Below are 12,445 nucleotides of genomic sequence, written 5' to 3'. Positions count from 1 at the left end.
CAGCGAGGCTGGGGGAGGGGCACCTGCCATTGCTGAGGCTTGAGTAGGTAAACAAAGCAGCCAGGAAGCTCGAACTGGGTGGAGCCCACTGCAGCTCAAGGAGGCCTGCCTGCCTCTGTAGACTCCACCTCTGGGGGCAGGGCATAGCTGAACAAAAGGCAGCAGAAACCTCTGACAGCTTGGAAGACAGTAGTGGTACTCCCAGCACGGAGCTTGAGATCTGAGAACGGGCAGACTGCCTCTTCAAGTGGGTCCCTGACCCCGAGTAGCCTAACTGGGAGGCACCCCCCAGTAGGGGCAGACTGACACCTCACATGGCTGGGTACCCCTCTGAGACGAAACTTCCAGAGAAACGATCAGGCAGCAACGTTTGCTGTTCACGAATATTCGCTGTTCTGCAGCCTCTGCTGCTGATACCCAGGCAAACAGGGTCTGGAGTGGACCTCCAGGAAACTCCAACAGACCTGCAGCTGAGGGTCCTGTTAGAAGGAAAACTAACAAACAGAAAGGACATCCACACCAAAACCCCATCTGTATGTCACCATCATCAAAGACCAAAGGTAGATAAAACAACAAAGATGGGGAAAAAACAGAGCAGAAAAACTGAAAATTCTAAAAATCGAGTGCCTCTTCTCCTCCAAAGGAACTCAGCTCCTCACTAGCAATGGAACAAAGCTGGATGGAGAATGACTTTGATGAGTTGAGAGAAGAAGGCTTCAGATGATCAAACTTCTTCGAGCTAAAGGAGGAAGTTTGAACCCATGGCAAAGAAGTTAAAAACCTTGAAAAAAGATTACACGAATGGCTAACTAGAATAACCAATGCAGAGAAGTCCTTAAAGGACCTCAGGGAGCTGAAAACCATGGCACGAGAACTATGTGATGAATGCACAAGCTTCAGTAGCCGATTTGATCAACTGGAAGAAAGGGTATCAGTGATGGAAGATCAAATGAATGAAATGAGGCGAGAAGAGAAGTTTAGAGAAAAAAGAATAAAAAGAAATGAACAAAGCCTCCAAGAAATATGGGACTATGTGAAAAGACCAAATCTACGTCTGACTGGTGTACCTGAAAGTGACGGGGAGAATGGAACCAAGTTGGAAAACACTCTGCAGGATATTATCCAGGAGAACTTCCCCAATCTAGCAAGGCAGGCCAACATTTAAATTGAGGAAATACAGAGAACACCACAAAGATACTCCTCGAGAAGAGCAACCCCAAGACACATAATTGTCATATCCACCAAAGTTGAAATGAGGGAAACAATGTTAATGACAGGCAGAAAGGTCGGGTTACCCACAAAGGGAAGCCTATCAGACTAACAGCAGATCTCTCAGCAGAAACTCTACAAGCCAGAAGAGAGTGGGGGCCAATATTCAACATTCTTAAAGAAAAGAATTTTCAACCCAGAATTTCATATCCAGCCAAATTGAGCTTCATAAGTGAAGGAGAAATAAAATCCTTTACAGACAAGCAAATGGTGAGAGATTTTGTCACCACCGGGCCTACCCTATAAGAGCTCCTGAAGGAAGCACTAAACATGAAAAGGAACAACGAGTACTAGCCACTGCAAAAACATGCCAAATTGTAAAGGCCATCAAGGCTAAGAAGAAACTGCATCAACTAACAAGCAAAATAACCAGCTAACATCATAATGACAGGATCAAATTCACACATAACAATATTAACCTTAAGTGTAAATGGGCTAAATGCTCCAATTAAAAGACACAGACTGGAAAATTGGATAAAGAGTCAAGAACCATCAGTGTGCTGTATTCAGGACACCCATCTCACATGCAGAGACACACATAGGCTCAAAATAAAGGGATGGAGGAAGATCTACTAAGCAAATGGAAAACAAAAAAAGGCAGGGGTTGCAATCGTAGTCTCTGATAAAACAGACTTTAAACCAACAAAGATCAAAAGAGACAAAGAAGGCCATTACATAATGGCAAAGGGATCAATTCAACAAGAAGAGCTAACTATCCTAAATATATATGCACCCAATACAGGAGCACCCAGATTCATAAAGCAAGTCCTTAGAGACCTACAAAGAGACTTAGACTCCTACACAATACTAATGGGAGAATTTAACACCACACTGTCAACATTAGATAGATCAATGAGGCAGAAAGTTAACAAAGAAATCCAGGAATTGAACTCAGCTCTACACCAGGTGGACCAAATAGACATCTGCAGAACCCTCCACCCCAAATCAACAGAATATACATTCTTCTCAGCACCACACCACACTTATTCCAAAATTGACCACATAGTTGGAAATAAAGCACTCCTCGGCAAATGTAAAAGAACAGAAATTATAACAAAACTATCTCTCAGACCACAACACAATCAATCTAGAACTCAGGATTAAGAAACTCACTCAAAACCACTCAACTACATGGAAACTGAACAACCTGCTCCTGAATGACTACTGGGTACATAACAAAATGAAGGCAGAAATAAAGATGTTCTTTGAAACCAATGAGAACAAAGACACAACATACCAGAGTCTCTGGGATACATTTAAAGCAGTGTGTAGAGGGAAATTTATAGCACTAAATGCCCACAAGAGAAAGCAGGAAATATCTAAAATTGACACCCTAGCATCACAACTAAAAGAACTAGAAAAGCAAGAGCAAACACATTCAAAAGCTAGCAGAAGGCAAGAAATAACTAAGATCAGAGCAGAACTGAAGGAGATAGAGACACAAAAAAACCTTCAAAAAATCAATGAATCCAGGAGCTGGTTTTTTGAAAAGATCAACAAAATTGATAGACCACTAGCAAGACTAATAAAGAAGAAAGGAGAGAAGAATCAAATAGACGCAATAAAAAATGATAAAGGGGATATCACCACCAATCCCACAGAAATACAAACTACCATTAGAGAATACTACAAACAACTCTACGCAAATAAACTAGAAAATCTAGAAGAAATGGATAAATTCCTGGACACATACACCCTCCCAAGACTAAACCAGGAAGGAGTTGAATCTCTGAATAGACCAATAACAGGCTCTGAAAGTGAGGCAATAATTAATAGCCTACCAACCAAAAAAAGTCCAGGACCAGATGAATTCACAGTCAAATTCTACCAGAGGTACAAGGAGGAGCTGGTACCATTCCTTCTGAAACTATTCCAATCAATAGAAAAAGCGGGGGTGGGCAGCCAAGATGGCCAAATAGGAACAGCTCTGGTCTACAGCTCCCAGTGTGAGTGACGCAGAAGACGGGTGATTTCTGCATTTCCATCTGAGGTATTGGGTTCATCTTACTAGGGACTGCCAGACAGTGGGCACAGGACAGTGAGTGCAGCGCACCATGCACGAGCCAAAGCAGGGCGAGGCATTGGCTCACTCGGGAAGCAAAAGAGGTCAGGGAGTTCCCTTTCCTAGTCAAAGAAAGGGGTGACAGACGGCACCAGGAAAATTGGGTCACTCCCACCCTAATACTGCGCTCTTCCGACTGGCTTGAAAAACGGCACACCAGGAGATTATATCCTGCACCTGGCTCGGAGTGTCCTATGCCCACGGAGTCTTGCTGATTGCTAGCACAGCAGTCTGAGATCAAACTGCAAGGCGGCAGCGAGGCTTGGGGAGGGGCGCCCACCAGTGCCCAGGTTTGCTTAGGTAAACAAAGCAGCTGGGAAGCTTGAACTGGGTGGAGCCCACCATAGCTCAAGGAGGCCTGCCTGCCTCTGTAGGCTCCACCTCTGGGGGCAGGGCACAGACAAACAAAAAGACAGCAGTAACCTCTGCAGACTTAAATGTCCCTGTCTGACAGCTTTGAAGAGAGCAGTGATTCTCCCAGCACGCAGCTGGAGATCTGAGAACAGGCAGACTGCCTCCTCAAGTGGGTCCCTGAGGCCTGACCCCCAAGCAGCCTAACTGGGAGGCACCCCCCAGTAGGGGCAGCCTGACACCTCACACTGCCGGGTACTCCTCTGAGATAAAACTTCCAGAGGAACGATCAGACAGCAGCATTCGTGGTTCACGAAAATCCGCTGTTCTGCAGCCACTGCTGCTGATAACCAGGCAAACAGGGTCTGGAGTGGACCTCTAGAAAACTCCAACAGACCTGCAACTGAGGGTCCTGTCTGTTAGAAGGAAAACTAACAAACAGAAAGGACATCCACACCAAAAACCCATCTGTACATCAACATCATCAAAGACCAAAAGTAGACAAAACCACAAAGATGGGGAAAAAACAGAGCAGAAAAACTGGAAACTCTAAAAAGCAGAGCGCCTCTCCTCCTCCAAAGGAACACAGTTCCTCACCAGCAATGGAACAAAGCTGGATGGAGAATGACTTTGACAAGTTGAGAGAAGAAGGCTTCAGACGATCAAACTACTCTGAGCTACAGGAGGAAATTCAAACCAAAGGCAAAGAAGTTAAAAACTTTGAAAAAAATTTAGACGAATGTATAACTAGAACAACCAATACAGAGAAATGCTTAAAGGAGCTGATGGAGCTGAAAGCCAAGGCTCGAGAACTATGTGCAGAATGCAGAAGCCTCAGGAGCTGATGCAATCAACTGGAAGAAAGGGTATCAGTGATGGAAGATGAAATGAATGAAATGAAGTGAGAAGGGAAGTTTAGAGAAAAAAGAATAAAAAGAAACAAACAAAGCCTCCAAGAAATATGGGACTATGTGAAAAGACCAAATCTACGTCTGATTGGTGTATCTGAAAGTGACGGGGAGAATGGAACCAAGTTGGAAAACACTCTGCAGGATATTATCCAGGAGAACTTCCCCAATCTAGCAAGGCAGGCCGACATTCAGATTCAGGAAATACAGAGAATGCCACAAATATACTCCCTGAGAAGAGCAACTCCAAGACACATAATTGTCAGATTCACCAAAGTTGAAATGAAGGAAAAAATGTTAAGGGCAGCCAGAGAGAAAGATCGGGTTACCCACAAAGGGAAGCCCATCAGACTAACAGCGGATCTCTCAGCAGAAACTCTACAAGCCAGAAGAGAGTGGGAGCCAATATTCAACATTCTTAAAGAAAAGAATTTTCAACCCAGAATTTCATATCCAGCCAAACTAAGCTTCATAAGTGAAGGAGAAATAAAATCCTTTACAGACAAGCAAATCCTGAGAGATTTTGTCACCACCAGACCTGCCCTAAAAGAGCTCCTGAAGGAAGCACTAAACATGAGAAGGAACAACCGGTACCAGCCACTGCAAAATCATGCCAAAATGTAAAGACCATCGAGACGAGGAAGAAACTGCATCAACTAACAAGCAAAATAACCAGCTAACATCATAATGACAGGATCAAATTCACACACAACAATATTAGCTTTAAGTGTAAATGGGCTAAATGCTCCAATTAAAAGACACAGACTGGCAAATTGGATAAAGAGTCAAGACCCATCAGTGTGCTGTATTCAGGAAACCCATCTCATGTGCAGAGACACACATAGGCTCAAAATAAAAGGATGGAGGAAGATCTACCAAGCAAATGGAAAATAAAAAAAGGCAGGGGTTGCAATCGTAGTCTCTGATAAAACAGACTTTAAACCAACAAAGATCAAAAGAGACAAAGAAGGCCATTACATAATGGTAAAGGGATCAATTCAACAAGAAGAGCTAACTATCCTAAATATATATGCACCCAATACAGGAGCACCCAGATTCATAAAGCAAGTCCTGAGTGACCTACAAAGAGACTTAGACTCCCACACAATAATAATGGGAGACTTTAACACCCCACTGTCAACATTAGACAGATCAATGAGAGAGAAGTTAACAAGGATACCCAGGAATTGAACTCAGCTCTGCACCAAGCAGACCTAATAGACATCTAAAGAACTCTCAACCCCAAATCAACAGAATACACATTTTTTTTCAGCACCACACCACACCTATTCCAAAATGGACCACATAGTTGGAAGTAAAGCTCTCCTCAGCAAATGTAAAAGAACAGAAATTATAACAAACTATCTCTCAGACCACAGTGCAATCAAACTAGAACTCAGGATTAAGAAACTCACTCAAAACTGCTCAACTACATGGAAACTGAACAACCTGCTCCTGAATGACTCCTGGGTACATAATGAAATGAAGGCAGAAATAAAGATGTTCTTTGAAACCAACGAGAACAAAGACACAACATACCAGAATCTCTGGGACACATTCAAAGCAGTGTGTAGAGGGAAATTTATAGCACTAAATGCCCACAAGAGAAAGCAGGAAAGACCCAAAATTGACACCCTAACATCACAATGAAAAGAACTAGAAAAGCAAGAGCAAACACATTCAAAAGCTAGCAGAAGGCAAGAAATAACTAACATCAGAGCAGAACTGAAGGAAATAGAGACACAAAAATCCCTTCAAAAAATTTAGTGAATCCAGGAGCTGGTTTTTTGAAAGGATCAACAAAATTGATAGACCGCTAGCAAGACTAAGAAAGAAAAAAAGAGAGAAGAATCAAATAGATGCAATAAAAAATGATAAAGGGGATGTCACCACCAATCCCACAGAAATACAAACTACCATCAGAGAATACTACAAACAACTCTATGCAAATAAACTAGAAAATCTAGAAGAAATGGATAAATTCCTCAACACATACACTCTCCCAAGACTAAACCAGGAAGAAGTTGAATCTCTGAATAGACCAATAACAGGCTCTGATATTGTGGCAATAATCAAGAGCTTACCAACCAAAAAGAGTCCAGGACCAGATGGATTCACAGCTGAATTCTACCAGAGGTACAAGGAGGAACTGGTACCATTCCCTCTGAAAGTATTACAATCAATAGAAAAAGAGACAATCCTCCCTAACTCGTTTTATGAGGCCAACATCATCCTGATACCAAAGCCGGGCAGAGACACAACCAAAAAAGAGAATTTTAGACCAATATCTTTGATGAACATTGATGCAAAAATCCTCAATAAAATACTGGCAAACCGAATCCAGCAGCACATCAAAAAGCTTATCCACCATGATCAAGTGGGCTTCATCCCTGGGATGTAAGGCTGGTTCAATATACGCAAATCAATAAATGTAATCCAGTATATAAACAGAACCAAAGACAAAAACCACATGATTATCTCAATAGATGCAGAAAAGGCCTTTGACAAAATTCAACAACCCTTCATGCTAAAAACCCTCAATAAATTAGATATTGATGGGACATATCTCAAAATAATAAGAGCTATCTATGGCAAAGCCACAGCCAATATCATACTGAATGGGCAAAAACTGGAAGCATTCCCTTTGAAAACTGGCACAAGACAGGGATGCCCTCTCTCACCACTCCTATTCAACATAGTTTTGGAAGTTCTGGCCAGGGCAATTAGGCAGGAGAAGGAAATAAAGGGTTTTCAATTAGGAAAAGAGGAAGTCAAATTGTCCCTGTTTGCAGGTGACATGATTGTATACCTAGAAAACCCCATTCTCTCAGCCCAAAATCTCCTTAAGCTGATAAGCAACTTCAGCAAAGTCTCAGGATACAAAATCAATGTACAAAAATCACAAGCATTCCTATACACCAATAACAGAGAAACAGAGAGCCAAATCATGAATGAACTCCCATTCACAATTGCTTCAAAGAGAATAAAATACCTAGGAATCCAACTTACAAGGGATGTGAAGGACCTCTTCAAGGAGAACTACAAACCACTGCTCAATGAAATAAAAGAGGATACAAACAAATGGAAGAACATTCCATGCTCATGGATAGGAAGAATCAATATCGTGAAAATGGCCATACTGCCCAAGGTAATTTATAGATTCAATGCCATCCCCATCAAGCTACCAAGGACTTTCTTCACAGAATTGGAAAAAAACTACTTTAAAGTTCATATGGAACCAAAAAAGAGCCCGAATCGCCAAGTCAATCCTAAGCCAAAAGAACAAAGCTGGAGGCATCACACTACCTGACTTCAAACTATACTACAAGGCTACAGTAACCAAAACAGCATGGTACTGGTACCAAAACGGAGATATAGATCAATGGAACAGAACAGAGCCCTCAGAAATAATGCCACGTATCTACAACTATCTGATCTTTGACAAACCTGAGAAAAACAAGCAATGGGGAAAGGATTCCCTATTTAATAAATGGTGCTGGGAAAACTGGCTAGCCAGTTTTCCTTTTCATTGCATCCGTGCCCATATCTATTATTTTTTGATTTTTGATTATGGCCATTCTTGTGGCAGTAAGGTGGTATCATACTTTGGTTTTCATTTGCATCTCCCTGATCATTAGTGATGTTGAGCAGTTTTTCATGTTTGTTGGCCATTTATATATCTTCTTTTGAGAATTGTTTGTTCATGTCCTTAGCACACTTTTTGATGGGATTGTTTTTTCTTGCTAATTTGTTTGAGTTTATTGTAGATTCTGGATAGTAGTCCTTTGTCAGATGTATAGATTGTGAAGATTTTCTCCCACTCTATGGGTTGTCTGTTTACTCTGCTGACTGTTCCTTTTGCCGTGCAAAAGTTCTTTAGTTTTATTAAGTCCCAGCTATTTATCTTTGTTTTTACTGCATGTGGTTTGGGGTTGTTTGTCATGAAATCCTTGCCTAAGCCAATGTCTAGAAGGGTTTTTCCCATGTTATCTTCTAGAATTTTTATAGTTTCAGGTCTTAGATTTAAGTCCTTGATCCATCTTGAGTTGATATTTATATAAGGTGAGGGGTGAGGATGCAATATCATTCTCCTACATTTGGCTTGCCAGTTATCCCAGCACCATTTGTTGAAAAGGGTATCCTTTCCCCACTTTATGTTTTTGTTTGCTTTGTTGAAGATCAGTTGGCTGTAAGTATTTGGGTTTATTTCTGGGTTCTTTATTCTGTTCCATTGGTCTTTGTGCCTATTTTTATACCAGTACCATGCTGTTTTGGTGACTATAGTCTTACAGTATAGCTTGAAATTGGGTAATGTGATGCCTTCAGATTTGTCCTTTTTGCTTAGTCTTGCTTTGGCTATGTGGACTCTTTTTTGTTACATGTGGATTTCAGAATTGTTTTTTCTAGTCCTGTGAAAAATGATGGTGGTATTTTGATGGAAATTGCATTGAATTTGTAGATTGCTTTTGGCAGTATAGTTATTTTCACAATATTGATTCTACCCATCCATGAGCATAAGATGTGTTTCCATTTGTTTGTGTTGTTTATGATTTCTTTCAGCAGTGTTTTGTAGTTTTCTTATAGAGGTCTTTCACCTCTTTGGTTAGGTATATTTCTAAGTATTTTATTTTATTTTTGAAGCTATTGTAAAAGGAGTTTAGTTATTGATTTGATTCTCAGGTTGGTCACTGTTGGTATATAGGAGAGCTACTGATTTGTGTACACTAACTTTGTTTCCTGAAAGTTTGCTGAATTCTTTTATCAGTTCTAGGAGCTTTTTGGAGGAATCTTCAGGGTTTTCTAGGTCTACAATCATATCATCAGCAAACAGCAACTGTTTGACTTCCTCTTTACTGATTTGGATGCCCTTTATTTCTTTCTCTTGTCTGATTGCTGTGGCTACGACATGAATAGAAATGGTGAGAGTGGGCGTCCTTGTCTTGTTCCAGTTCTCAGAGGGAATGATTTCAACTTTTCCCCATTCAGTACTATGTTGGCTGTGGGTTTGTCTTAGATGGCTTTTATTGCATTGAGGTATGCCCCTTGTATGCTGATTTTGCTGAGAGTTTTAATGATAAAGGAATGCTGGATTTTGTCAAATGCTTTTTCTGTGTCTATTGAGTAATCATGTGATTTTTGTTTTTAATTCTGTTTATGTGGTGTATCACATTGATTGACTTGCATATATTAAACCATCCCTGCATCCCTGGTATGAAACCCACTTGATCATGGTGGATTATCTTTTTGATATGTTGTTGGATTCAGTTAGCTAGTATTTTGTTAAGGATTTTTGCATCTATGTTCATCAGGGATATTGATCTGTAGTTTCCTCTTTTGGTTATGTTCTTTCTTGGTTTTGGTACTAGGAAGATACTGGCTTCATAGAATGCTGAAGTCTTCAACTACCAGGGTGAGTAGGAAGGACCATCAGGTGGGGGCAGAGCTAGGTGTGTCTGAGCTCAGACTCTCCTTGGGTGGCTATTGCTGTGGCTGCTGTGGGGGATGGAATTGTGGTTCCCAGGTCAATGGAATGATGTTCCTAGGAGGATTATGCCTGCCTCTGCTGTGTCATTCAGGTTGTCAGAGAAGTAGGGGAAAGCCAGCAGTCACAGGCTTCACCCAGCTCCCAAGCAACCCAGAAGGCTGGTCTCACTTCCATCATGCCCCCAGCCCCCGAAAGACACCAACTCTGTTTCCAGACAGTGGAAGAGCAGGGCTGAGAACTTGCCCCAGGTTACTAGCCTCCCACGTGTGAAAGCAAGCAGGGCTTTCATGCCTTCCCACCTGAGGAGTCTGCATACTGGATTCATGCCCTCCCCAGAGTTCTGGCCAGAAAACTTTGTGTTTGGTTGGAATTGTTACAAAGTTCAGCAGGAGATTTCCTTCTCTTTGTGGTCTTTTCCCAGTACCTCTGGCAGCCCTCTCCAAGGACCTCTGTGGACAAGACAGAAATGGCTCTCTAGGGGACCTAGAGAGCCTAAAGGGCTTCTCCTGCTGCTTCCTCTACCTCTGTATTTAGCTTGACTCTCTAAATTAACTCAGCTCCAGGTAAGGCAAGAATCTTCTCCTGTGATCCAGACCTTCAGGTTCCCTAGTGAGGGTGTGTGTTCGCAGATGGACAATCCTCCTTTCCCACTTCCACAGCTTGGGCACTCACTGTATTTGGGGTGTCTCCTTGCTCCTACAGGAGCAGTCTGCTTCCTTCAGAGGGTCTGTGGGTTCTCTCAACTTTTCTGGTTTATTCCTGCAGTAGTTTTGGAGCAAAAGTTCACAATGCAAGTCTCCACACACTGTTCTGTCTGTGTGGGAGCTGCAATCTAGTCCTGCCTCCTGTCCACCATGATCTATTAGTTTTTCCTCTTGTAGCTTACTAAGCTTTTTAAAGATAATTATTTTGAATTCTTTTTAGGCAATTCATATATCTCTATTTCTTTGGGGTCAGCCACTGGAGCTTTATTATTATTATTTTGGTGGTATATTTCCTTGATTTTTTATGTTCTTTGAAGCCTTGCCTTGTTGCCTTCTCATTTGAAGAAGGAGTAAACTTCTCAAGTCTTCGATTACTGGCATTGCGAGAGAACAATCTTCACCATTCAGCCTGGCTAGAGATCTGGAGGTGTCTCAGATCATTTCAGTTGATGTATCCCCTTACTGTTCTTATTCCCTCTTGGGGGATAGTGTCAGGATTGTATGCCTTCCCTTGATCCCATAAAACCAGGCCAGGTAGTGAGAACTTTCCATTTACTTCTCCTAGTGTAATGCCAAAGGTTCTTGCCTTAGCCATGCCAAAGAATTGGTGTGGCAGCTGCCCGCAGCGAGTGATAGAGACATGGACCGAAAGAGAGAAAAAGACATAGGCTTTATTGGGCAGAGTGAAAATACAAAGCTTCCACAGTGTGGAAGGGGTCCCAAACAGGTAGCCAGAGTTAGATTATGCAGTTGCCTTTTCAACTCTTTAAGGTGGGAAATACATGCGGAGGGAAGATGTTACCAGAGTGAGAAACAAAGGCAGTAAATTATTTTGTGACATGTCTTAGATTTTGAGGAAAACCGGAATTGCAGCTTAGGTTTTATCTACTTTATGACCTTGCAGTGGCATGGCAAAGGAGACAGGATTTTATAGGATTTTACAAAGTATGTTTACAAGGAATTGGAATTGGGAGCATAGATAAAGTCTGCTGGTCACAGAAAAATGGGCAGTCAACATTCTTTTTAGTTTTGGGGGAAGGGGAAGGAAGAGAGGGAGAGAGGACACAGGGATGCTTACAGCAAAATTTTCATTGTTTATAGCTTTCTTGGGGAAGAAAACACACGCACAAATCTGGGTGTTAGGAATATTTTAAGCATATATCTTCAATATTATTCATCCAGGACCGAAGTAAGTCCTGATGCAGGAATGAGTGAGTTTCACAGCTTTCTGAGCCCCTACTTGACCCAGGAAGCCCAGCTGGCACCTCCTCTCACTAGGGCTGTGATCTGGAGTGATCAAAGTTGTGCACCTTCTCCCCGTTTAGCAGAGTTGAGCTATCTGTTGATATCTGTGCACTGTCTTTGCAGGCTCATGTTTGCCATCTTCAGGGGAGCACATGTACTGTCTTCAGGGGAACCTGGGGTGCCATCTGTGGAGGAGTGCAAGGTGCTGATGATGGTGGTGGTGGTGGGAGTATGTGCATGGAGTGCTTGACATATCAGTTAATTTGGGGGTTCACATGTGACACATCCCCACAGGGTTCATTGGTGATATCTACAGGCCAGCCAGTAACATCTGTGGCCAATTATTGAGATCTGTGTGCCCTCTGCTTTGAGCTTCTGCTCCTTTTCACTGCTTCTTGCTGCCAGACAATTCAGTTGTGCT

General features: G+C 42.0%; 1 long non-coding RNA gene across 1 annotated transcript in view; it reads left to right on the top strand.

Moving 5' to 3' along the window:
• The window catches only part of CLCA4-AS1 (CLCA4 antisense RNA 1), a 133,313-nt gene that overhangs the window by 70,836 nt on the left and 50,032 nt on the right, over positions 1–12,445 (top strand). The window lies entirely within an intron of this gene.

This window comes from Homo sapiens, chromosome 1, assembly GCF_000001405.40.
Source record: "Homo sapiens chromosome 1, GRCh38.p14 Primary Assembly".
Taxonomy (NCBI): Eukaryota; Metazoa; Chordata; class Mammalia; order Primates; family Hominidae; genus Homo; species Homo sapiens.
The sequence above is the reverse complement of the archived record's forward strand: the minus strand, read 5'-3'. Positions and strand labels throughout refer to the sequence as shown.